The following is a 25,808-nucleotide window of genomic DNA, read 5'->3' as shown; positions in this document are numbered from 1 at the left end:
ACACTGACTGATTTCACACAGTGTCTGCTGTCATCCTGTTAGCGTGTAAACAGTGTGCTCGCACTGACTGATTTCACACAGTGTCTGCTGTGGTCCTGTTAGCATGTAAACAGTGTGCTCACACTGACTGATTTCACACAGTGTCTGCTGTGATCCTGTTAGCATGTAAACAGTGTGCTCACACTGATTTCACACAATGTCTGCTGTCATCCTGTTAGCGTGTAAACAGTGTGCTCACACTGACTGATTTCACACAATGTCTGCTGTCATCCTGTTAGCATGTAAACAGTGTGCTCACACTGACTGATTTCACACAATGTCTGCTGTGGTCCTGTTAGCATGTAAACAGTGTGCTCACACTGACTGATTTCACACAGTGTCTGCTGTCGTCCTGTTAGCATGTAAACAGTGTGCTCACACTGATTTCACACAATGTCTGCTGTGATCCTGTTAGCATGTAAACAGTGTGCTCACACTGACTGATTTCACACAGTGTCTGCTGTCATCCTGTTAGCGTGTAAACAGTGTGCTCACACTGACTGATTTCACACAGTGTCTGCTGTGGTCCTGTTAGCATGTAAACAGTGTGCTCACACTGACTGATTTCACACAGTGTCTGCTGTGATCCTGTTAGCATGTAAACAGTGTGCTCACACTGATTTCACACAATGTCTGCTGTCATCCTGTTAGCGTGTAAACAGTGTGCTCACACTGACTGATTTCACACAATGTCTGCTGTCATCCTGTTAGCATGTAAACAGTGTGCTCACACTGACTGATTTCACACAATGTCTGCTGTGGTCCTGTTAGCATGTAAACAGTGTGCTCACACTGACTGATTTCACACAGTGTCTGCTGTGGTCCTGTTAGCATGTAAACAGTGTGCTCGCACTGACTGATTTCACACAGTGTCTGCTGTCGTCCTGTTAGCGTGTAAACAGTGTGCTCACACGGACTGATTTCACACAGTGTCTGCTGTGATCCTGTTAGCATGTAAACAGTGTGCTCGCACTGACTGATTTCACACAGTGTCTGCTGTCGTCCTGTTAGCATGTAAACAGTGTGCTCACACTGACTGATTTCACACAGTGTCTGCTGTGGTCCTGTTAGCATGTAAACAGTGTGCTCGCACTGACTGATTTCACACAGTGTCTGCTGTCGTCCTGTTAGCGTGTAAACAGTGTGCTCACACTGACTGATTTCACACAGTGTCTGCTGTCGTCCTGTTAGCATGTAAACAGTGTGCTCACACTGACTGATTTCACACAGTGTCTGCTGTCGTCCTGTTAGCATGTAAACAGTGTGCTCACACTGATTTCACACAATGTCTGCTGTGATCCTGTTAGCATGTAAACAGTGTGCTCACACTGACTGATTTCACACAATGTCTGCTGTCATCCTGTTAGCATGTAAACAGTGTGCTCAGACTGACTGATTTCACACAATGTCTGCTGTCATCCTGTTAGCATGTAAAGAGACGTGGCAGGACCCCCCCAGGAGTGCGTGATGAGCGAGGCCGGCTGGAGTTGGCGCTAGGGCAGCTGCCAGGCCCTTTGCGTTGGTTCGAGTGTCGACGGCGTCGCTGTGCAGCTGGTTCTAGGCCTCGTGTTCGCAGCTGTTTTTCACTGAGTCCCCGTCAGGCGCGCAGGCCCGTGGCCCGGAGCGCTGGGGGAAGGACCTGCCCGGGAGGCTCCTCAACCCAGGCTCCCGAGTAGCTGGGATTACAGGCATCCGCCACCACGCCCGGCTAATTTTCGTATTTTTAGTAGAGATGGGGTTTCACCATCTTGGCCAGGCTGGTCTTGAACTCCTGAACTCAAATGATCCGTCCGCCTCGGCCTCCGAAAGTGCTGGGATGACAGGCGTGAGCCACCGCGCCCGCCTCCTTCCTCGTTTTCTATGTCAGAGGCCGCAGGCACCGGGGCACCCGCTGGCCAAGGCGCGGCTGCTGAGGGCGGTGCGGGGCGTTGGGGTGTTGGGGTGTCGGGGTCACCGGTGGGAACACGCTGGGGCGTTTGCGGGACCCGCTCAGAGCTGGAGCTGACACCCTCGGGCGGGGCTTCCTGAGGCCTCTGGGAAGCTGCTTGTCCGCGCGGGGTCGGGGGTTCCGGGGGAGCGCATGAGTCCGGCCGACCGGGGAGGCGCAGGGGGACCTTGAGGCCGATTCCAGGCGCGGCCAAGCAACCCCCGCAGGACCCCCCAATGCCCCCCATGCTGCGGCCCCGGGCGAGGGCAGACCGTGGGGTCAGGGGTCGCGGGGCGCTTGTGGGGAGCCTGGGCCTGGCCTGGGGGAGAACGTTCTGTGGGGGACAGACCGGGAAGGGACCCCCGGGGAATGGCCGAGCCTGGAGAGGCAGATGCAGCAGCGGGGTCCCGGGGAGGGCGGCATCCCGGGGGGCGGGGTCCTGGGGGGGCAGGGTCCCGGGGAGGGCGGGGTCCCGGGGAGGGCGGCGTCCCGGGGGGCGGGGTCCCGGGGGGGGCGGGGTCCCGGGGAGGGCGGGGTCCCGGGGGGGCGGGGTCCCGGGGAGGGCGGCATCCCGGGGGGCGGGGTCCCGGGGAGGGCGGGGTCCCGGGGGGGCGGGGTCCCGGGGGGGCGGGGTCCCGGGACCAGATGACGGCGGATTCCTCCTCTCCAGGGAGCTTGGGGGGCTCTGAGTGGGGGGCGCGTGTCCCGCGGGGAGGGTCTCCGGCTTCTCGGGGCCACGGGGGGAGGTTGCGGGGGCTGGGGGCGGCCGGGGCTGCCGGCCGCGGCCCCGAAAGGCCTCTCCGGGGGATCCGGGGGCCGCGGCTCCTCCCAGGGCCTCAGGTCCGTGAGTCACAGGCAGCCGGTGTTCAGGGAAAGTCAAACGTTCTTTTCTTTCCAATCCCATGAAACAAACGCTCAGAGCCTGTCCCGCCGCAGGGGCTCAGCGCCGTCATTCCTGGGGCGTCCTCTCCCTTTCCCGGGGGCCCCGGTCCCTGTGTTCCCAGCTACGGCCGGACGCGGGGAGAAGCGGCCAAATCGCGAAGGGCCTGGACAGGGCCGCGCGCGGATCGGACTGTGCTGGGGGAGCTGAGAGGGGCCGCGGGCGATCGAGGGGTCCGGCTCCCGAGAGGCGATGCCCAGAGGCCGGGACAGAATCTAGACGGGGCCGAGTCCCCAGCCCGGGCCCCGGCGGCCTCCACGTGGGAAGACACGCAGGGCCCGGGAGCTCGGAGTGGGCGCAGGGCGGCCTCGGCTGTGTCAACAGATGGGCAGAAACCCCAGCGTGTGCCAAGCTGTAGTCGCCGGTGGGTCTTAAGCGTTTTAGTCTTGGGACATTTTTACACTTTGAAAATTACTGAAGACTCTCAGAGCTTTTGTTTTTGTGCATTATAACCTTCAAAATATACCGTATTAGCGGCTGGGCGCGGTGGCTCACGCCTGTAATCCCAGCACTTTAGGAGGCCGAGGCGGGCGGATCACGAGGTCAGGAGATCGAGACCATCCTGGCTAACACGGTGAAACCCCGTCTCTACTGAAAATACAAAAAAATAGCCGGGTGAGGTGGCGGGCGCCTGTAGTCCCAGCTACTGGGGAGGCTGAGGCAGGAGAATGGCGGGAACCCGGGAGGCGGAGCTTGCAGTGAGCTGAGATTGCACCACTGCACTCCAGCCTGGGCCACAGAGCGAGACTCCATCTCAAAAACCAAAACAAAACAAAAACAAAAAACATATATATATAAATATACACATACGTATGTATATATACACATGTATAAACACATGTATATATAAATATATACACATGTATATGTATATATAAATACATATGTATAAATATATATAATACATATGTATGTGTATACATATGTATATAATATATACATATGTATGTATATACATATATGCATATATACACATATATACATATATATGTATACCGTATTAGCAATTAGAGCTGAGACATTTAAAAATACTTATGGCTTCATTTATGTTTACATTTCAAAATTTACTTATACATTTTAGATTTATGTAAATTTATGGGGCACAAGTGTAATTTTGTTACAGGCATACATTGCACAGTGGTGAAGCCACGGCTTTTAGGGAACCCCAATAAGGTGTGCTGTACCCGTTAAGTACTTTCTCCCCAACCCCCCACTCCCTCCCGGACTCTACGGCCTGTCATTCCACACTCCGTGTCCACACGTGATTCAGCTCCACTTATGAGTAAGAACATGCAGCGTTTGTCTTTCTGTTCCACTTAAGAGAATGGGCACCACTTCCATCCACATTGCTGCAAAGCAACCATTTCATCCTTTTCTGATCCATTTAAAAACAGCAATAATAAACCCATTAAGTGTTAACATATAGGATAAAATTTTAGTAATATTTTTAGTAAAAAGAATGGCATTATCTTACATTTTGCAAACCCCTTTCACTGGGTTCTCTGATTTGAACTGCTGTGATACTGTTGCTCTGGTTGAAATTGAGAAGAAAACCTGGCCACACACAGACATTGAGTTGGGACAGAGGATTATTTACCAGCCTTTTTGGATCATTACGCGTCGTCTTTCTTGGGGTTATGCAACACGTGGTAAGTGACGGTTTCCTCAAGGTGAGCTGCTGTGGAACCGGAGACCATGGTGCATGCGCTCTGCGCTCAGCCAGGCTGTGACGTGAGGCGATCACACGCTTTGGGTGGGTTCTCACCCGGCGTGGCTTCGTAGCATCCTGCAACAGTCATCTGGAAAAGGTCAGTTCACCGAGTCATGTGGAGCTTCCAAATGTTGACGTGTTTGTTTATTTAATATCAAAAGTCACATTTGCGAATATCACCACCAACTTCCTCGGAAAAGTCTTGAAGTGCTGACTGGGAAGCTCACAGTGATGGATACAAGTTTTCCAAAATTCTAATTTTTGCTTGAAAGCTCAAATTTTGTTATTGGCAACAAATACTGCAAGTTTACCTTAAAGCAACAGGCTCATTTTGCTCATTTTCAAGAAAATGCCTGCCCGATGCCCGATGACCGTGGCTAGTTGGTTGTTTTTTCAGGTACAGACGTAGCTGGGGGGTGGGGGCCGTGGCTCCAGACTCAGCCACACACTTTCTCCCAGTCCCGTCAGCTTCCATGTGTGGTCCACGCACTCTGCCTGCATTTCCCGTGTACTGCCCCACCTGTGGCCATGCACCCTGCTGTGCTGTGTGCAAGGCTGAGATAGAACAGAACGGATAGTTTTTCTGCCCCAGGGGGCCTTTTAAAAGTGGAGCTATTGTTTCTACTGCACAGTAAGTGCTGGTGGTGGGAAGGCAGGGTGTGGAGCTGCCGCCCTGTGCCCAATACGGAGCCGCCATTCGCAGATGTCGCCCGCTGGAGAAGGCATTGTCACAAAAGTAGTGACATATTGTCACACAGTGTCACTTAGCTTTGTCACAAACGTAGTTCTGATCTGCAGACCCACTGGCAGAGTCCCTGGGAACTTACCCCATGCCAGGACCCACAGGCCACGCGGTGAGAACCTCCTGCCATGGGTGAGACCAATCCTTCACGGACCGGGAGGGAGGCTGTGGATGGGGCTGGAGCCCCGGGTATGTCCTCAGCTGGCTGGAGAGCCTCCCCCAGGGGCGATGTGGGCAAGTCCACGTCTGCTGGGGTCCCTTCCCTGGTTCGTGAACCTGAGAGGCCACCCTGGGCCCCTGGCGCCCCTCCCTGCAGGTCAGCGCCCCTGGCTTGCTGTTCTTGAGACTCCCTCTACTTCCCACGCGCCACTCCCAGCACGTGGAGACGCCTGTTTCTCCTGGGCAGATGGAACCCGATTCTTTCCAACTTGGGAAACGTAATCGGTCTTTTCTGTTATGTTTCCATTTGTTTCTCAATGTTAAATTTCTGTGAACAAAACTTCCCATTGGTGACTGTTTTAAAGACCCTCAGAACCTGGTCCGCCACTCTAGAGGCTCTATCACCATAGGCCCTGGGCTGCCTGGAGGAGCGAGTGAGGGGTCCATGCTGCGTCAGGAGCTGGGGACTGCTGGGGATGAGATGCGTCTCTTTGGCCAGGGCGTTTGCTTTAGAGCTATGAGGCAGCCAGGAAGCTGGGCCACAGGCGGGAGGCCTGGGGTCCGGGCGCTACAGCCAGTGCCAGCTCCTGCTTTCCACGGCCGGCGGGTTCTACCATAGCCTCGGCAAGTCATCAGCAAACGTCCCTTACAGACACTCCATCCGGACACGTGTGCCTCATTGCCAGGTGGTCTCTCTGCCGAACCCACATCTGTGATGGCAGAACTCAGCTCAGAGCAGGTGCGGCAGGAGGCGAGGGAGGGAACACCGGCACCCTCACAGCAGCTGGGCCCTTCCACACACCCTCCAAGCTTGTCACCCAGTAGGCCGGCCGGGCGCCATGGCCCGGAGGTCCCTGTGGCCGGCAGGAGAGTTGCCAGCACGGGAGCTGAGACCCTCTTGTCAGACTCAGGCGCCCTCTCTCTCCTCCCTATGAAAATAAAAGCTTAGAAAGCAGAAAGCCAGCAGACAGCCGGGACTGCTCCCCTCGCCCCTGACCCTCCATGCTGCTGCTTTGTTTGCTGCTACCTCAGACGGTGGAGCCGTCTCCCCAGGCCGTGTCGCAGGTCCTTTCTGCTCCGGGCAAAAGAATCGCAGAGCCTGATTCCACAGGAGAGCATGAGTGTGAGACTGGGAGGCAAGCTCTGGCTGAAGCCGCAACCCTGACGGCAGTAATTTCCCTTGGTTTTGAATTTTCACCTAAAAAAAAAATCCATGTTTAGCCTTAGGATAATAATAGCTACTGTTCCTAGCTACATTGCTTGTACAATGTGCACACACACATTGCCACGGCATGCCTTTGAATTGAACCTGGCATACCTGCAAGGTCAAAGCTGAGTTCATGGCTTGTGACAGGCAGTGAGCAGCTGCCAGTGCTGCCCTGCCCATGTGTGCCCACATGTACCCAAGTATGCCCGCATGTACCCAGGTGTGCCTGCATGTGCCCAGGTGTGCCCACATGTACCCGCGTGTGCCTGCAGATACCCGCGTGTGCCCACATGTACCCGGGTGTGCCCGCAGATACCCAGGTTGCCCACATGTACCCAAGTGTGCCCACATGTACCTAGGTGTGCCCACATGTACCCACGTGTGCCTGCAGATACCCACGTGTGCCCGCATGTACCTGGGTGTGCCTGCAGATACCCAGGTTGCCCACATGTACCCAAGTGTGCCCGCATGTAGCCGGGTGTGCCCCCATGTACCCATGTGTGCCCATGTGTGCCCACGTGGGCAGGGTGAGCAGAGCCAGCACAGTTGCCCACTGGCTCTGACACAGAGGCTTGAAGAAAACCCTGGGACCCTCAGTGAGGGGCATACCCAGCCTGCGGGGAAGATGAAGCCACCTTCTGGCGTCCCACCCAGCGGCCAGCTCCTGCGGAGCCTCCCGACAGAGCACGAAGGAGCGTGGACAGGGCTCCAGCTTAGTTCTGACATGCGTTGGAAGCACCTGCGGACATCCACTTTGCAAAGCAGCTGCTGTACTGGTGCGGCTGGGGTGTGGCCTGGGCCGTTCCTCTATTCTAGGAGGAGTGGGGCTCCAGGTGAGGTTCTGACTCCAACTCTCTTGGACAGGACAGACACGGCCTCCTGCACAGCGGCTGCTGCACCCAGCACCGGGGCTGGTCCAGCTCCGCGTCTTCACCACTGAGCAGCTTTTACTTGATCCTATTTTGTGAGGATATGGTCTTTAAAGTCACGTGCCTCTGGAGGTTGGGAACCTGCATGACAAATACAGTTTTGGGGCAGTTACTTTCTTTTTTCTTTTCTTTTTTTTTTTTTAGATGGAATCTCACTCTGTCGCCCAAGCTGGAGTGCAGTGGCGCGGTCTCGGCTCACTGCAAGCTCCGCCTCCCGGGCTGATGCCCTTCTCCTGCCTCAGCCTCCTGAGTAGCTGGGACTACAGGCGCCCGCCACCACGCCTGGCTAATTTTTTGTATTTTTAGTAGAGACGGGGTTCCACCGTGTTAGCCAGGATGGTCTCGATCTCCTGACCTCGTGACCCACCCGCCTCGGCCTCCCAAAGTGCTGGGGTTACAGGCGTGAGCCCCTGCACCCAGCCTGGGCCCATTACTTTCGGCGTGACAGCTGGAGTGTGTCCGTCCTGAAGACTATTTAAGGAGAGGAAGGCCAGCCTGATGCTCTAGCTCAGGGAACTTGGTCATCCAGCAGATACCAGACAGGGCGACCCCTTCGGCCCATCCAGGGAGGGAACAAAGGAAGAAGGCTGTCAGGGCAGCCAGGCCACTCCCATTGTCCTGCAGATGCTGCCGTGCTCCTGGTCACCCATGGGAGCTGCCAAAGGGGACCCCAACTTTTCTTGGGAAAGTGCCCATCCCTGGGCCTGTGGGCCCCTCCGGCGATGGGTCAGCGCCACCCTCTGAAGGGCACAGGGGCGTGGGGGCAGCGGTGTCAGTTTGCTTCCTCGGCGTCGTAGCCACAGCCGTGACATGCCAGCCTGCTTCCCACATGGAAGAGGTATTTTGCTCCTCCCCTGACCCTGGGAGGTCCTGGGCCCCTTCACACCTTTGCATAACAAACAGAAAAGGCCGGCTGGGCAGTTTCCATGCAGGCCAACCCACTGTGCTAATTAGCACACAATGAAAATTATTAGGTGAGACAAACACCCCCACAATAGCAAAGAAAACAAACCAAACCCGTCTACACAGATTCCCACAGTCCGTGTGACTCACTCTGCCTGTTATCATGCGGTGGGCGGGAGCTTTATTCCCAACGTGTCTCATTGCTCAGATGTTTTCTGCTCTTCCTGATCCTGACTTCTCCTTTGGGCCTAATCAGGGCACGGCTCTGGGCCGGATCGGGGCCTTTGGCTGCGCTGCCTCAGGCCTGGGTTCTCACGGCCTGGGGTGAACCTGGCGTCCGGTGAGGAAGGGGCTGGAAACAGAGCTGCCTCAGCCTTGGGTGTCCATAAGGAGGTGTGTGGGGCCCTCTCGGCTGTCCCCACTTTACTTTCTCGGGGGATTTTATAAATTTATTTCCAAGAGCACATGCCCAGTTTATATGCACAGCCAACCGAGCCCTTTGCCCGACTCACGCCCATTCCGGAGTGGAGGTGACCATCCCGCGTGGATGAGTGCAGGGAAGCTCCGATGCGCCAGGCTCCCGAGGCAAAAAGATGCAACTCCTCCGAGCCACGGTGCGGTGAGGAGGAGGAGGCTCTTGCTGCTTGGGCCAGCCCCTGCCTGGCCAAGCTCCCAGATAAAAGGTGGGGCGGTGCTGTCCTTCGCCCTCCTGCTGGCCTGAGATCTGAAGGGAGGCACATTCTGGAGGGTGCCGGCTCAGGGAGCCTGACCCAGAGAGCTGGACACCTGGGGTGTGGCTCAGGGCTAGGGTTAGATTTGGGAGGAAGGACGGCCAGGCCCGGGGTCTGAGTATGGCCCCACCCTCTGCTCTCAGATGCCGGGGTCCAGAGAGCAGCAGAGGCCGGGGCTTAGCCTGTCCTGGGGTGGCTCAGAGGCGGGGGCTCAGCCTGCCTGGGGTGGCTCAGAGGCGGGGGCTCAGCCTGCCTGGGGTGGCTCAGAGGCGGGGGCTCAGCCTGCCTGGGGTGGCTCAGAGGCGGGGGCTCAGCCTGCCTGGGGTGGCTCAGAGGCGGGGGCTCAGCCTGCCCTGGGGTGGCTCAGTGGCGGGGGCTCAGCCTGCCTGGGGTGGCTCAGTGGCGGGGGCTTTACCACGAAGAAAGGCACTTGCTGGAGCAGGCCCCGAGCTCAGCCCTATGCTCTGGGGTCCTGACCCACATCTAGCAGCAGATGCAGCAGGGACACCAATTGGGAGGCACGTTGACCAGCCAAGGCCACCAGCCTGGCCACTGTGCTGAGACAGGCCCCAGCCCAGCCCGGAGCAAGTCCTTCGCGGTCACTTTCCACTCACCCAGGCAAAGCCCTTACCCAGGAGGTGATGACGGCCTTGGGGGAGCTCGGTCAGTCAGGGAGGATGGCGCGCCTGAGAGTGCACGGTGTCCTGTGGTCACGGTGGGGCACAAGGGGTCCCATCTTCCTGGAGCACATGAGGTCCTGTCTTCCCGGGGCATGTGGGGTCCTGTCTTCCTGGAGCATGTGGGGTCCCGTCTTCCTGGGGCTTACGGAGGGGCCGTTTACCCTGGGCTGGGGGGGAAGGGCCCAGTTGTTCATCACAGGGGCCCCTTCTCTTCTATGAGTCCCCCCTTTTCTGGGGACACCAGTGGCAAGAGCCTAGGCATCTCTAGAACTGGCCATAAACCACAGCAAAGGCCTCGTGTTCTACAGAATGTGAGGATTTTCAATGACATGGCATCACTTGGAGCGCACTGGCCCCTGCTTTGCAGTCACCAATGCCGAGGTCACTGCTCTGGGGGCTGTGTAGGGCGTGTGTCTCTGCATCCGTATCTCTGTCGTGTGTCCGGGGCTGTGGCTCTGCATCTGACCTGGCCCAGCTTCACTCTGTGGGGAGTCTTGGGGCCTCCCTGAGCCCCAAAGCTGGGCCCACATGGCCAGTCCCCTCACAGACACTGGCTGCTGCCATTTCCTTTGAGCTGTGTTCCCACCTCAGGTCCACCTGCTGCTGGGTGCTGCTCTCCTCAGCCTCTCGGCCTGGGGAAGCTGCCTCGCCCCTCCCGTGCTGGAAAATCCCACCTGGGCCCAGCTGTTGGTGCAGGCGGCTGCAGGCTGGAGGGGAAGCACTGGGAAGCCACTGAACGTCCAGGTGAGCCTTGACGGCCTCTCAGCCCCTTCCCTCAGCCATGCAGCAACCAGCTCCGCCAACTTTGCCCACACACGCAGCCCCTCCTCCTCCCAGGCTCAGCCCCCTCCAAGTCCAGGAAACCCCTGGGTACACTCGCTCCGTAAGAGCGTTCTTCTGTTTTTCTGCCTGCTTGGGGCATGTGAGATTTACAGCCCTGGAATTTTAGAAAGCAGTTCTGGTGTCTGCGTTTGCTTGGTCAGTTGCAAAGGCATTGCCCATTTTGTCTTGGAGCAGAGGCATCTGCCATCACATGCTCCGTGCCATGGGTGAGGGACAAGGGGTCTCTCCCTGCGCTCTGTGTCCAGCATGGACTCTGCAGTTTGTTCCTTCTGAGCTTGTGATGCTCAGAGCTTGGCCGGGACGGAGCTGGTGGCCTCAGCTTCCAAGCTCCGGAGCTCAGCGTGGAGGAAGGGCGCTGCCATCCTCCCGCAGCTCAGCCTGTGAAGCAGCTGTCAGAACATCTCAGATTGGGTGTCTCCGTCTCTCCCGGCTCCTCGGAGGTGAAGGTCCTTGCAGTCAGTCCTGGAGAGTGGCCCGTGGCCAGGTCCCGGAAACCGCGTGTACCTGTGCCTCACCCTGCGAAGGCTGGGCAGGCAGCGTCCTTGGCCACAGTCGAGAATGTAACTGCGGCTCATGGAAATGAGCCCTGAGAAATCACACGACTGATTTTCACAGATTTCCATTCTTCGAACATTCCACTCTTTGAAAAAGATTTTCTCCTGGCTTTTTCAATCAAAAGCACACACTCTAGGCAGACTGACTATTACTGTAGCCAATGCCGTGAGCTGGCATGTGGGAGGGAAGGCTCTGGATCCTTCTGGAATATGGAATGGGCTCGGAAGGGAGACACACTTGATCCTAGTCCCAGCTCCGCACTGTCCCCGGGCTCCTGCCTCTGAGACCCTCGGGGCTCTGTGGAAACAAGGGGTGATGCCCAGGTGGGACCAGTGCCCTGGAATGTCCTCTGTACTGAATAAATGTCGGCTCCCCTTGAAGCCTACACGGCACTGGCAAATGAGTTCTGTAGCCGACTGTAAGTTAATTAGTACAACTCTTGCTCTCTTATTATTCTTAGACACAAAGTTAATTTGGAAAGATACATGTTTCTTTTAAAGTTGCATGGTTAAAAGCATGTGGGAGCTGAGCTTAATTAAGAGAGAGTGGCTCCTAGCGTGCAAGGGTTGCAGTTGGAGAAAAACATCATTAGATTAAGGGTTTCGCTGCCTTACCCAGCACAGCTGCCCCAGGCCGCTGGCCTCTCCATGCAGTGGATGGTGGATTGACCCGGCGTGAACTCTGTGCAGCTCCCGGAGGGGCCTGAGGTGCACGCACACCAGCAGTGGGGAGGGCAGTGGGGCTCAGGCACTGCGGGAGCGAGGGTGGGGGCAGCGCCCGTGGAGTTGACCCCGGAGCCACCCGTGCGCCAAGCCTGCCGGCATCCTCACAGGTACAGGCCACGCGGAAGCCCCCAAGAGGGCGTGAGCCCCGGCTGCGTTTTAAGCCCTGGAGGAGGGGATGTTGTGAGTGGCTTCAGACTCCTGTGCCCTGGTCCGTGGGCCAAGGACTGGGGCTGGCATCTGCACTCGGTGCTGAAAGCTTCCAGCAAGAAGACTTGGAGCTTCCTTTCTAAGGCATCTCCCTGGCTCTCAGGAGTCTCTGCGGAGCTGAGGGTGCCCGTGGCCTGCCCCAAAAGGCCCAGCAGCCCCAGCGCCCTCCTCTCTGGGCCTGGACCCACAGTGAGGAGGGGGCCACGCTCCTCAGGGGTACTGAGGGCAGGGACAGGAAGATTGTGGGAAGTGCCTGGCTCGAGTGATCAGCCTCCGTCCCTCTGGCCCCATGGAGACGGGGCCTTCGGGCCCTGATGGAGCTGCTCACCGGGGCTCAGGCCTTGGATCCCCCCACAGGGCTGCTGTCCCAGGAGCAGAGGTCCCTCCCTGTGCCCTGGCCCTTGAGGCCCCTGGCGTGTTGCTGGTGTGCATTAGTGTGTGCACAAGAGTTAGCTGGAGGCCCTGCCTGCCGCGTGGCTGCTGTTGTGTCTCCACAGGCTGTGGGGCAAGAGGCAGAGCATGTGTGGTCTGTGCTCGGCCGCCCCAGGCCTGGCGGAAGGGCTGGGCAGGCTCCTGTGAGCGCTGTGAACGCCGGGCACCCCCCGCGGCGCCGTCTTCCTTCCTCACCTCATGGAACCCTCTTGGCGTTTCACACGCGGGGACTCTGAGGGCGGGTTGTCGGGGACAGCACTCCACGGCCTCTTGTGGCATGTCCAGATGATCTTTTCAAAGACATCTGCAGGAGGCAGAGACGGTGCCTCGCCTGGGCCGGGGCAGTGGCTCCCTCCGCCTGGGATCTGGGGTCTCCCTGCCAGGGCTCCCTGTGTGTGTGCAGGTCCCGGGCCTGGCTCCAATCCTCAAAACCACCATTGCTGTGAAAACCACCCTGGAGGGTCGTGTCTCTGGCCAGCAGCCATGAATCCCGCAGGCCATTGAGGCTCCTCCGTGTGCAATCTCAGTGCCTTGTGCAGCTGGACGTGTGAGGAGCTGCCAGGGCCGTGGGGAGCCGGGCTGGCCCTGGCCAGAGTTGTTTCCCTGCCCCACACCCTTTCACCATTTCGCAGTCTCCACGAGTGTCCTGGGTCTGTGCATTTTCGCACATGGACTGCAGTCCTGGAGAACTGGGATGTGGAGGAGGTTGGGAGCAGTGGTGACAGCAGGGCCAGAGGCGACACAGAGCAGAGGAGCAGAGACCAGGTGAGGAGCAGAGACCAGGTGAGGAGCGCAGACCAGGTGAGGAGCACAGACCAGGTGAGGAGCAGAGACCAGGTGGGGAGCACAGACCAGGTGAGGAGCAGAGAACAGGTGAGGAGCGCAGACCAGGTGAGGAGCGCAGACCAGGCGAGGAGCAGAGACCAGGCGAGGAGCAGAGACCAGGTGAGGAGCAGAGACCAGGTGAGGAGCAGAGACCAGGTGAGGTGAGGAGCGCAGACCAGGTGAGGAACGCAGACCACGTGAGGAGCGCAGACCAGGTGAGGAACGCAGACCACGTGAGGAGCAGAGACCAGGCGAGGAGCAGAGACCAGGTGAGGAGCAGAGACCAGGTGAGGTGAGGAGCGCAGACCAGGTGAGGTGAGGAGCGCAGACCAGGTGAGGAGCGCAGACCAGGTGAGGAACGCAGACCACGTGAGGAGCGCAGACCAGGTGAGGAGCGCAGACCAGGCGAGGAGCAGAGACCAGGTGAGGAGCAGAGAACAGGTGAGGAGCGCAGACCAGGTGAGGAGCAGAGACCAGGTGAGGAGCAGAGACCAGGTGAGGAAGGCAGACCAGGTGAGGAGTGCAGACCTGGCAGGGAACGTAGACCTGGCAGGGAACGCAGACCTGGCGGGGAACGTAGACCTGGCGGGGAACGCAGACTGGGTGTGGGAGCCCCAGCACACAGAGGAGCGCAGACCCAGTGGGGAAGCCAAGGCACGAGCTCGGGAGCCGGCGAGGGGTCCAGGTGCTGGATGAGCAGAGCAGGGTGGGCTCCGGGCCACGGGCAAATGCAGAGAAGGAGCCCTGGGGGAGGCAGAGGGAAGCTTTGCTGCGCAGGAGGGCGAGGAGGGGCATCCCTGGCTCTGGGCACACAGGTGGAGACAGAGGACAGCTGTGCTGTGCTGCATTTTCTGATGGAAAAGATGATAAACTATGTTCACGCTGCCAACAAATACTAAACAATGGCTTTCTCTAAAGCTTAAGAATCATTATGCTAAATAGTAAGTTTAGGGGAGAAGAGACAGAGTCCCCTTACAGAAGAACTCCGGAGAATTTGGTTGGATGCTACACCCTCAAGAAATAAAGTAGTGTTGGGTTACAAAGACATAAAGTAAGCGTCCAAGAATCCATACTCTTGTAACTGACTGAAGAAGTACAGAAATGTGAGGAGGCTGGGCGAGCGTGATGCTCCTCCAGGGCTGAGCTCTGAAGCAGGGTTTGTGTGTGCACACGTGTGTATGTGTGTGCATGTGTGTGCGCACACGTGTGTATGTGTGCATTTGCGCGTGCACACGTGTATGTGTGTGCATGTGTGCGTGCACACGTGTATGTGTGTGCATGTGTGCGTGCACACGTGTGTATGTGTGCCTGTGTGCGCGCACACGTGTGTATGTGTGCATTTGTGTGTGCATGCGTGTGTATGTGTGCATGTGTGTGCACACGTGTGTGTGCGCATCTATCAGCAGTGTGCCCTGAGGCCTGTGGTCCCCCTGGGAAGCGCTGTTCAGCACAGGTGGGGGTGTCCCAGGGACATTTGGCTGCTGAGAGTTTGGGGGTCAGAGTTGCCCTCGGCAGACGGTGTCCATAAAGAACACTCACAGCTGAAAGACCCACGGCCCAGGTTCCCCTGGGGGTCCCAGGACCTCAGAGTCCAGCTGGTGAGGGGCACTGTCCTGGCCACAGAGACACGGTGGGGGCTCTGCTGTCTGTTGCAGAAACTGGAGTACTGGGCTGAGCAGTACCCCAAATTCGTGTCCTTCAGGAAGCTCAAATGGGACCTTTTTTGGAAATAGGGTCGATGCAGACATCTTTAGTTAAGATGAGGCCACACTGGGTTAGGGAAGGCCCGGAGTCAGGGACTGGTGCTGGTGTCTTTACCGAAGGACGGTCATGTGAATTCGGAGAGATGGGCCCATACAGGGGAGTCAGCTGCGTGCCCAGGGGGCAGAGGGCAGAATGACGCAGCCACAAGCCCGGAACGCCTGGGGACACTGGAAGACGCAGGAAGGATCCTCCCCTGGAGCCTTCGGAGGCACCTTAGTTTCAGGCTTGGGGCCTCCAGAGCTGGGAGAGGGTGACGTGCCATTGCTTTAAGTCCCCAGTGTGTGGTTCTTTGCCAGGACGGTCTCAGGACAGGCTACAGGGATGCAGCTCACAGAGGAGCCTGGGACCTCACCTGGGTGGGTGTGGTGGCCTCACGCTGCCCTCTGGGGACTCATCCTGCCAGGCCTTCGGCTCCTCGAAGGGACCCTAGGCAACTTCTCCAAAGCTGTGAGGCAGAGGCCGGCTGAGGATCTCAGGAAGGCTGGGCCTTAGGGCGGCCAATTTGCCCAGGACTGAGGGGTTTCCAGGGTGTGGGGCTTTCAGAGCAAAACCCAGGAAAGCCTCAGGGAGCCGGGCGGTCGCCATCCTGGAGGTGCCAGGCGGGGACGGCCTGCGGGGTGAACAGCCCACGTTCTGGTCTGAAGGGAGTCTCTGCCGCTGCCTGTGGGAGAACTTCTGCTTGAACCAGTGAGCTGGGACTGCGGCCGCGTGTGGAGCTCCAGACACAGGGCCCTCACAGGCACCCACCCAGCCCTGCAGGCCCTGGAAAAGCCCACCGCCTGGGAGGGGCATCCACGCCGGTGACCCAAGACCCCGCCAGCAAGAGCGCAGGCCTGGGAGGGGCGTCCGTGCCAGTGACCCAAGACCCCGCCAGCAAGAACGCCGCAGTCCCTCTCAGGGCGGGGGCGGAGGGCGGCACTGCAGGAAGGTGGCCAGACCTCCAGGTCTCCTGCCTGGGGAAGGGGCTTTGGAATTGCAGGACCAAAAGCAACTGCTTGTATTTCGCTCTGTGGCTACGGGCAGGGGTGGAGATGGGGCTACACAGGCTCCTGCGGATACTCCCGCCTGGCAGGATCTCAGCGGGGAGGGGCTGTGGCCCTGGGGGTCCTGAGTAGAAGAAACAGACTTTTCTCTGCTCTTACCCACAACAATCAACAGAGACTCCATGACCAGACGTGTGGGGTTTTTCCCACACGCCAAGCAAACAGTCGGTTCTGCACAGACACCAGCAGGAACCCTCCAACTGCGTTCAATTCATTCTGACTCTTTCCCCAGGAGACAGTGTCTGATACCACAGGCTATGGGCTCAGTCCCCAAGACTCTTCCCCATACCCACACCCACTTCAGACACCAGCGGTATAAGTCTGAGCCTTCGGAACTTCTGGCCCACAGGCTGGGTTCCTATGACACGCCCCCACCCCCCCCACCCCTTCCCCGGTTGGGTTCGATTAATTCTCTAGAGCAGCTGCGGAACTCAGGGACACGCACTTACGTGTACCAGGTTTATTATAGATGGTATTGCAAAGGATACAGATGGAGAGGCGCATGGGGCGAGGTGTGGGGAAGGGGCCGGAGTTCCCAGGCCCTCCCTGGGCACTCGCCCTCCAGGAACCTCCAGAGTCCATTATCCGGAAGCCCCCTGACAGTCCTGCTGGGGATCAGCTTGAGTAGCCAAGCACTGTCATCTCCTTAGCAGACAAACAGACATCACTTATGAGACCCCAGGGACTTTAGGAGTTGTATGCCAGGAAATAGGGAGGAAGGCCAAATGTGTATTTCAGAATAGTCGAGGGTAGCTGGAAGGTACCTGGCTCGGCCTGCAGCCTGAATGAGCGGCAAGGCTCCTGGGTCAGGGATCAGGGCCAGGGCAGGGGCGGGGTCTCTCCCAGACCCATCTGGGAGCTGGGACCCACTGAAGGGCCCAGGCAGGATTGGGGTCAAAGCAGGAGAACATGGAGACAGGAAAGAAGCTGACATTTCTTCATGCTGCGAGCTAAATCCCCTGCCCTAGAAGTTGTGGTTTCTTGTACACTGCAGCTGTTGCAAATCACTAACAACACTGTCTGCCCGTCCCTACGTGGAATGATGGAGTTCACTGGAACCACCGAGGGACGCTGCTCTTACTGCTCGGGTGTGAAAGGATGTATCACTGCATTATGATTTTGTTTCTTAAGAAATACTTTTGGCCGGGTGCAGTGGCTCACACCTGTAATCCCAGCACTTTGGGAGGCCGAGGTGGGCAGATCACTTGAGGCCAGGAGTTTGAGACCAGCTTGCCCAACATACTGAAACCCTGTCTCTACTAAAAATACAAAAATTAGCTGGGTGTGGTGGCGCGTGCCTATAACCCCAGCTACTGGGGAGGCTGAAGCAGGAGAATCACTTGAACCCAGGAGTGGGAGGTTGCAGTGAGCTGAGATCGCGCCACTGCACTCCAGTCTGGGCAAAGGAGCGAGACTCTGTCTCAGGAAAAAAAAAAAAAAAAGAAAAGTAAAGAAAAAAAGAAGGCCGGGTGCGGTGGCTCACGCCTGTAATCCCAGCACTTGGGGAGGCCGAGGTGGGTGGATCATGAGGTCAAGAGATCGAGACCATCCTGGCTAACACGGTGAAACCCCGTCTCTACTGAAAATACAAAAAATTAGCCGGGCATGGTGGCAGGTGCCTGTAGTCCCAGCTACTTGGGAGGCTGAGGCAGGAGAATGGCGTGAACCCGGGAGGCGGAGCTTGCAGTGAGCCGAGGTCATGCCACTGCACTCCAGCCTGGGCGACAGCGAGACTCCGTCTCAAAAAAAAAAAAAAAAAACTTTCATAACTGTTTTGATACTGTGTTTCAACTGCTTTGTACATTTGTTGACGAAAAGAGTCAGACTCCTTGAAATATTTTTAGAGATTTATTCTGAGCTGAATATGAGTGACCTTGGCCTGTGACACAGCCCTCAGGAGGTCCTGAGAACATGTGCCTAAGGTGGTCGGGGTACAGCTTGGTTTTATATATTTTAGGGAGTCACGAGACATCAGTCAAATACATTGAAGAAATACATTGGTTGGGTTCAGAAAGGCGGGACAACTCAGAGCGGGGCCTTCCAGGCTATCGGTGAATTCAAACATTTTCTGGTTGACAGTTGGTTGAGTTTAAGAAGACCTGGGATCAACAGAGAGGAAATGCGAGGTTGAGATAAAGGACTGCGGAGACCAAGTCTTATTGTGCAGAGGAAGCTCTCAGATAGCAGACTTCAGAGGGAGCAGATTGTGAAATGTTTCTTATCAGACCTAAAAGGTGCCTGGCTCTTAGCTAATTATCTCCTGGATCTGCAAAGGAAGGAAGGAAAACAAAGGGGAAGGGGATTCGCTATAGAATGTGGATTTTTCCCACAAGAGACTTTGCAGGGCAATTTCAAGGTCTGGCAAGGAAATATATTTTGGGATGAAATATTTTGATTTTTTTATTGTCTTATAATGTTATGCCAGAGTCAGACTGGAAAGTAAGTCACGATATATATAGGGTCAAATAAGACCCATCTGATGAGAATTTATGGTTGAAGGGTATGACTCCCTAGACCCCTTAGATAGGAATTGGGGCAAGATAAAAAATTAGAGCTTAGTCCTGATATTCAAAGACATTTCTCGGAGAAGGGTCTGAGAAGAGAGGTGGGGGATCTGGGAGCTGTGTGGAGGGACCCCCTGTGTGCAGAGGAAGGGTCTGAGAAGGGAGGTGGGGGGTCTGGGAGCTGTGTGGAGGGACCCCCTGCGGGTGGGGGAAGGGTCTGAGAGAGGTGGGGGTCTGGGAGCTGTGTGGAGGGACCCCCTGTGGGTGGGGGAAGGATGTGAGAGAGGTGGGGGTCTGGGAGCTGTGTGGAGGGACCCCCTGTGGGTGGGGGAAGAGTCTCCTAGCCAGCTGGGGGCCTGAGCTCCCACCACACATTCATTTATTGCCCATTTGTTTCCAAAAGGGATTTGAGGTTGTTCTCAATCAAGAACAGACAACTCCACAGGGATAAGATGATGGCGGAGGGCAGGTGTCGTGGGATTCAGAGAGTGGTAACCTTTGAACACTCAGCTTCCTAGCAGTCAAGACAAAAAGGGCCATCTATGTCTGAAGGGAGGTGGCTTCCAGGGACCAGTGGCTTCTCAGCACAGGTGCCTTGGCAGAGGCTGCCTGACCTCAGACACAGACACCCCTCTGCCCTCTGCCAGTGGCCCAGGGCCAAGTCTCCCAGGGATCTCCCACCTCAGCCGTCTTGATAGTGGCTCCAACACCCACGGGCCATGTCCCTGTCACCCACCGCACTCCGCCCACTGCTGCGTCCTGAGAGTCAGGGTCTCCCCCACAGAACAGGAGACTCCAGAGGGGGTCCCAGGGTTGCTCCCAGCAGGTCTATTTGGACCTCCCCTCCCCAGAGCCCAGCCCCAGCCTCGTTAATTCTGTAATATTTGGTTTTGAAGAAATTTACCATAAATGTATAGATCTTAAAAAATCATGCCAGGGCTGTGATATTCTTGGCAAAAGCCAGTCTGGTGTCCATTTCTGTTGGAGAAGATGAAAGATGAGATTCCAGATGTTCTTTCGGATTTGGGCCATCCCATTCCGTCTGCCACTCAGGAGAGTTCAATAGACCTAACATTTTTGTCTGAAAGGCTTGGGGAGTTTCTCCTCTGCCACACGCTCCTCCTGAGGGAGCCCCTCATTCTGGGACGTGGCTTGTGGCGGCCGTGGCAGCAGCTGGTTCCCGAGGGACAGGACCCACTGGGGTCCCTGAGGCTCCTCCGACAGCAGTGGCAGGGGGCAGGCAGGACCCGGGCAGACGGACCTTTCCAGAAAGACCCACCAGGCTGGACAGGCAGAGTTGCACGGTGGTGAGGCCGGCTCCCAGTGCTGCCACACTTGGCTCCCGAGGGCTAACGATGTCTTCAATCGTACAAAGGCCTCTGATTCACTCCGTAAATCCTATGCTGACACGCTGCCTCTTGGCATCTTATTTTGTTTACTTAGAACCGACTTTGAGGTGAGGAATGCTTGCATGTTGCTGGGTGTTTAGAGGAAGAGTAATAGATTATTTGTAACTCCTGTAATGAAAACATTACGCAGGCACAACGATGGGCTCAGTCCTGCTCATTTTCCGCTGCTAATTGCCAGGGCATACAGGCTCTGTTATGAACTGAAGTGCCATCTGTAACCTCCCACATTTATTAAAATATAATTGCTTTAATGAAATTCTTTTGGAATAAGACATAGTTCAAACAACACACTGCCTTCATGGGTGATTTTCTGGCCAATTACGGACGTGACCACGGAGTCTCTCGCTTTCAATCAGATGGTTTTTCCTTGTAAATGTGTTGGAGAGGACGTTCCAGGGGCTGCTCTGGGCTCTGGCTGGGCTATTTGAACCTTCCACTTTGACCTTAGAAATGCTTCAGTCGTTTTAAAAAGTGCAGAAAATACACCCCCAGCTCTGTGGTCATCCCGGGAGGTGGGTCATGGTGCACATCCCGACACCTTCCCAGGCCCGTCTGCTGCAAGCCCCACCACCTTCCCAGGCCTGCCTGCCTCGAGCCCCTGCCTCCAGGTGCGCTGGTTTATGATGGGGGCGGGGGCGGGGGCAGGTGGCGAGCATTTGCCTGTCTCACAAGTGGAGCTTTTAAGGAAAATTAATGAAGAAACAGACCGGCTAGCTGGGGAGTCTTTAAAAATAGTCCTTTCACCTGGAATCGCTCTCTTCCTCTCAGCCTCAAGTGCCACTTTCCTTACTGGTCGAGAGGGCTCCCCAGACACTGTGCTGCAGTCTGATCTGCCTCGGTGCCCTGCCCGGACAGCGTGGAAGGCGCTGCTCGTGTTCCCGTGGTCTGCCTCGGTGCCCTGCTCTCCCTTTTCTCTCTGGAACAAAGTCATTTGTGCTTTGCGGTGGCATTCTCAGCTGTGAAAAGTCTGATTTAAATGATTTGGCAAATGAGTGGTTCTCCATTCACACCGCCGTTCTGCCTCCTTGGTGGTGGGCGTGGGCTGCGGCTCACACCGGCAGCAGCAGGAACAATGGACTTCACCTGTCCACGCGCCCAGCGCCATTCCCAGTCCTGAGACCTGTGAAACCCACTGGACAAGATGCAGCTCTCGTTCTCAGAGACAAAGGGCCCTGGAGCCTGCAGGAGGTGGGGGGTGTGGCTGGGAGGCAGCTGTGAGTTGCCAGCGTCCCGCACGCTGTGCCCTCCTGCAGCCCTTGCCCGGCACGGTGGGAAGTGACTCCAGCAACCACTCCAGAGTCCAAGCCTAGAGCTCAGAGGTGGCAGGAGAGGCTTCTCGGCCGAGTCGGACGGGGAAGCCTGTGGCTGCCGAGATCACAGCCGCGGTGTCATCCCAAACCAGGGCCGGTGCTGTGGCTTTCACCCTGGATGTGACTTGCCATCTTGGCTAATCTGAGCCGAGGGAGGGACGACGATTTCTCATCCCTTGTGAGTGAGATTTCCTTACATGGTGCACACCTTCCTGGCTTTGGGGATCCCCGCTGTCCTTCAAGGCCTCCTACCTGGTGCCCACCCTGCTGTGAGCTCCCGGCCCTCTCCCGGGGGTGTCCTCCTCGTCCTCCTCTGGGGCTTTGGCGGCTTGTACCCTGGGACACAAGCACGTCTTCACTTGCGGCAGAGTCCCGATGATGACAGGCCATGGAGGCGATGCTGGGTTCACTGCGAGCCACCCGCTGTCAGTGCCCGGGCATGGGTGGTGCCCCCAGCTCATGACCTCGGGTCTCACCCTCATCCCCACCCCTGTGAGGTCCACGGCTGGACAAGAGTGCCCAGCTCCACACCAGCATTTCCTCAGGAGGAGGCTGGGTGGCCCCCAGCAGGAAGTGGGCGCGTTCTCAGCTCCCTGGCATCTGCCTCATCACAGATTTTTGGACGAGGGAGTCCGGAACCTGTGGGACCCCCGCGAGCTCAGGCAGAGGCAGCTGTTCCGGGTCACACAGCCCTTGGCTGTTCTGACAGGCTCTGCTCCCACAAGGACAGAGCACGGGGTCCCCCACGCTGCCTGGGCTCAGCCTTGGTTTTCCATCACAGACCAGTCTGAATCTTGTGCAATGTCATCATGAACTTCTCCCTGCACTTTATATATAAATATGTAGCTCAGTAACAGTGCACCTTGTTCCACAGACACTTCCGAAGGACCTTCTATCCCACACAGCGACCCTCGCTGCAGAAACTGTCGGATGCCAGCGTGTGATGTGTGCTTTCCCGGAGGAGAGGAGACATGGGGTCTGCGTCTCCCTGGGTGCGAATTTGGACACGATGCAGGCAGGGAGGGCCCCCCATCCCTCAAACCCGCCATTAATTCCCCTGCTTTTCCTGAGTCATGGATTTGAAATGCCTTTGTCTAGATCACATCAGATCTTAGAGGTGGTGAACTGCGGGCATTTGTCTTGGGGATAGTGGGTGCTACTCCTCCAGGGACCACGAGCAGCTCCCCATCCTGCCTTCTGGGGACTGATGAAAATGCTCCCACTCCACACCTCCTGTGGTCCGGGCAGCCCAGGGAGTGAGATGCTGGAGCCGGGTCAGGAGCTGGGCGAGGTGCTGGAGCCGGGTCAGGCGCTGGAGCAGAGCCAGGTGACCTCCCATCAATGTCACCCTCAGACCAAACCCATGACGCAGGTTTCAATCCCAGCTGACACTTAGGTTCTGGGTGATCGTAGACATTGTTTATGCCTCTTTTTTTTAATGTTTGATTTTTCTTAAAAGACTACTTTTTCAGAGCAGTTTTACAGTCACAGAAACATGGAGAAGAAGGTCCAGAGAGTTTCCATATGCCTCCTGCCCCCACACAGGCACAGCCTCCCCCACCACCAACCTCCCAGGCTGGAGACGTGCATTTGTGCCGGGCGATGAACCCGCACGGACGCATCCGATGGTCCGGATCCCGGAGCTCACTACGGGGCTCCCTCCTGGGGCCACTCACTCCGTGGGTTTGGACAAACGTGTGATCGCAGGCATCTGCCCTGTGGTGTCCCCCGGAGCAGTTTCACTGCTAAACATCCTCTGTGCTCTGCCTGTTTGTCCTTCTCTCCCGAAGCCCCTGGCTACCTGTCATCGTTCTACTGTCTCCGTAGTTTTGCCTAGAATGTCATCTAGTTGGACTCACGCGGTGAGTAGCCTTTTCAGACTGGCTTTGCTCCCTTAGTGCTGTGGATTCAAGCTGCTTCCCTGTCTTTTCATGTCTTGATGCTTCCTTTTCTGTTTTAGCGCTGAGTGACACTCCGCTGCCTGGAAGTGCCCAGTTTATCCATTCACCGACTGAAGGGTATCTTGATCGCATCCCCGTTGGGCCAGTGAGAGGAAAGCTGTGTGAACCTCTGAGTGCAGGTTTCCGTGTGGACGAAGGAGTTCAGCTCTTTTGGGCAGGTACCAAGGTGCGTGCACACTGGGTCACAGGGTCAGAGCCCATGTTTACATTTGTAAGCAGCTCCCAAACTGTCTCCCGAAGTGGCCGTGCTATCTGCATCCCCTCCAGCAGCGAATGAGCGTTCCTGCAGCCCCACGTCGTCACTGGTCCTTGATGCTGCCGGTGTTCTGGAGGCCGGCTGTTCTAACAGGCGCGTGAAGGTGTCTCCTCATTTTAACTTGTATTTCCCTGACGACTGTGACGGGGCATCTTCTCATATGTGTATCTGCCATCTTCCGAGGGGTCCACGAAGGTCTCTGACCCACTTTTAAACTGGGCTTTTCTTATGGTTGACTCTTAAGCGTTCTTCGTATTTTTCCCTTTATCAAATGTGTTTTTTGTAAATATTTCCTCCCAGTCTGTGTCTTCTCTTCTCATCACTCTTGACAGTGTTCTTTTGCAGAGCAAAAAAAATTTAATTTTAAGAAAGTCTAGCTTACTAATTCTTTCACAATGTATACCTTTGGTGTGGCTCATCTAGATTTCTTCCTACGTTTTTTTCTAGGAATTTTGTAGTTTTGTGTTTTATGTCTAAGTCTGAGACTCATTTTGAGTTAATTTTTTGTGAAAGGTGAAAGGTCTGAGTCTAGACTCATTTGTTTGCATGTAGGTGCGCAGTTGTTCACCATTTTTTGAAAGACCATCTTTCTCTATTGTATCGCCTCTGCTCCTCTGTCAAATATCAGTTGACTGTATCTATGTGGCTCTAGGTCTGAGGTCTCTGTTTTGCTCCGTTGATTTGTCTCTTCCTTTGCCAATATCACCCTTTCTTTGTAGTGAGCTGTGCTAACTATTCTGGGTCTTTTGCCTCTCCACATCAACTTTAAAATCAGTTTGTCAATATCCACAAAATAACTTGCTGAAATTTTGACTAGGATAAAATTGAATCTATAGATCAAATTGGGAAGAATGAACATCTTGACAATATTGAATCTTCTGTCCATGAACATGAGAGAAGAGCTGAGAGTTCAAGCAACCTCGCCTCTTGAGTTGCTTGAACCTGGGAGGCAGAGGCTGCAGTGAGCCTTGCAGTGTCCTCAAGGAGAGAGGTCTCTCTCCTTGCCTTGTTCCTGATCTCTATTTCTTTATTCTTGTTTGATTTTGTTGATCAGAGATTTGTAGTTTTCCTTATATGGAACTTGTACATATTTTATTAGATTTATACCTACGTATTTCATTTGAGGGAACTAATGTAATTGTATTATGTTTTTAATTTCAAATTCCTTGTTCGTTGCTAGTATACACAAAAGCAAATGACTTTTGTATGTTAATCTTATAATCTGCAAACTTGCTATAATTGCTTATTAGTTCCAGGAGGGTTTTCTTTGTTGTTTTCTTGGTCAATTCTTTTGGATTTTCTACATAGATAATCATGTTATCTGTGGACAGTTTTATTTCTTCCTTTCCAATCAGTATACTTTTTATTTCCCTTTTTTGTCTTATTGCATTAGTTAGGATTTCTCGTGTGATATTGAAAAGAGGTGAGAGAGGACATCCTTGCCTTGTTCCTGATCTTGGTAGGAAAGCTTTGAGTATCTCACCATTATTATTGTAGATATTCTATGGCAAGTTGAAGAAGTTCTATATTCCTAGTTCACTGAGTTTTTATCATGGATGGGTGCTGGTTTTTTGTCAAGTGATTTTTCTGCATCTCTTGATGCGATAATGCAATTTTTCTTCCCAAGAATGTTGACGTGATGGATTACATTATTCATTTCCAAATGTTGAACCAGATTTGCACACCTGGGGTAAGTCCCATGTGGTCTTGGTGTGTAATTCTCTTTCTACATTATGGAATTGAATTTGATGATATTTAGCTGAGGATTTTTGCATCTATGTTCATGAGATATATTGGTCTGTGGTTTTTTCTTCATCTTGTTGTGGTAGTAGGGTGATGCTGGCCTCATAGAATGAGTTTGGAAATATTTTCTCTGCTTCTATCTTCTGAAAGAGGTTGTAGAGAATTGGCACAATTTATTCCTCACATGTTAAGCAAAATTCACTAGTAAACCCATCTAGATTTGATGTTTTCTGATTTGGAAACTTGTTAATAAATAAATTAAT

The 25,808-nt window shown here is 55.4% G+C and overlaps 1 long non-coding RNA gene across 1 annotated transcript, besides 5 other annotated features; it reads right to left on the bottom strand.

Annotated features, from left to right (window-relative positions):
- Window positions 30–710: an enhancer, noted in NCBI's record as "OCT4-H3K27ac hESC enhancer chr18:77379196-77379876 (GRCh37/hg19 assembly coordinates)". NCBI's record gives its function as "activates a minimal SCP1, AML or CMV promoter by ChIP-STARR-seq in naive H9 embryonic stem cells {active_cell/tissue: H9 hESC(naive)}" and the evidence as "EXISTENCE:reporter gene assay evidence [ECO:0000049][PMID:30033119]".
- Window positions 711–1,392: an enhancer, noted in NCBI's record as "OCT4-H3K27ac hESC enhancer chr18:77378514-77379195 (GRCh37/hg19 assembly coordinates)". NCBI's record gives its function as "activates a minimal SCP1, AML or CMV promoter by ChIP-STARR-seq in naive H9 embryonic stem cells {active_cell/tissue: H9 hESC(naive)}" and the evidence as "EXISTENCE:reporter gene assay evidence [ECO:0000049][PMID:30033119]".
- On the bottom strand, window positions 3,945–9,181 carry LOC105372228 (uncharacterized). Its single transcript, NR_188039.1, has 3 exons — window positions 9,070–9,181; window positions 7,335–7,735; window positions 3,945–6,716 (listed from the first exon to the last, which is right to left on the bottom strand). It is a non-coding gene; the product is annotated as an uncharacterized LOC105372228 (long non-coding RNA).
- Window positions 7,691–8,283: an enhancer, noted in NCBI's record as "H3K4me1 hESC enhancer chr18:77371623-77372215 (GRCh37/hg19 assembly coordinates)". NCBI's record gives its function as "activates a minimal SCP1, AML or CMV promoter by ChIP-STARR-seq in naive and primed H9 embryonic stem cells {active_cell/tissue: H9 hESC(naive and primed)}" and the evidence as "EXISTENCE:reporter gene assay evidence [ECO:0000049][PMID:30033119]".
- Window positions 8,284–8,877: an enhancer, noted in NCBI's record as "H3K4me1 hESC enhancer chr18:77371029-77371622 (GRCh37/hg19 assembly coordinates)". NCBI's record gives its function as "activates a minimal SCP1, AML or CMV promoter by ChIP-STARR-seq in naive H9 embryonic stem cells {active_cell/tissue: H9 hESC(naive)}" and the evidence as "EXISTENCE:reporter gene assay evidence [ECO:0000049][PMID:30033119]".
- Window positions 20,760–21,653: an enhancer, noted in NCBI's record as "H3K4me1 hESC enhancer chr18:77358253-77359146 (GRCh37/hg19 assembly coordinates)". NCBI's record gives its function as "activates a minimal SCP1, AML or CMV promoter by ChIP-STARR-seq in naive and primed H9 embryonic stem cells {active_cell/tissue: H9 hESC(naive and primed)}" and the evidence as "EXISTENCE:reporter gene assay evidence [ECO:0000049][PMID:30033119]".

The sequence above is a fragment of the Homo sapiens genome, chromosome 18, assembly GCF_000001405.40.
Source record: "Homo sapiens chromosome 18, GRCh38.p14 Primary Assembly".
Taxonomy (NCBI): Eukaryota; Metazoa; Chordata; class Mammalia; order Primates; family Hominidae; genus Homo; species Homo sapiens.
This window is presented reverse-complemented; position numbering and strand designations above follow the sequence as displayed.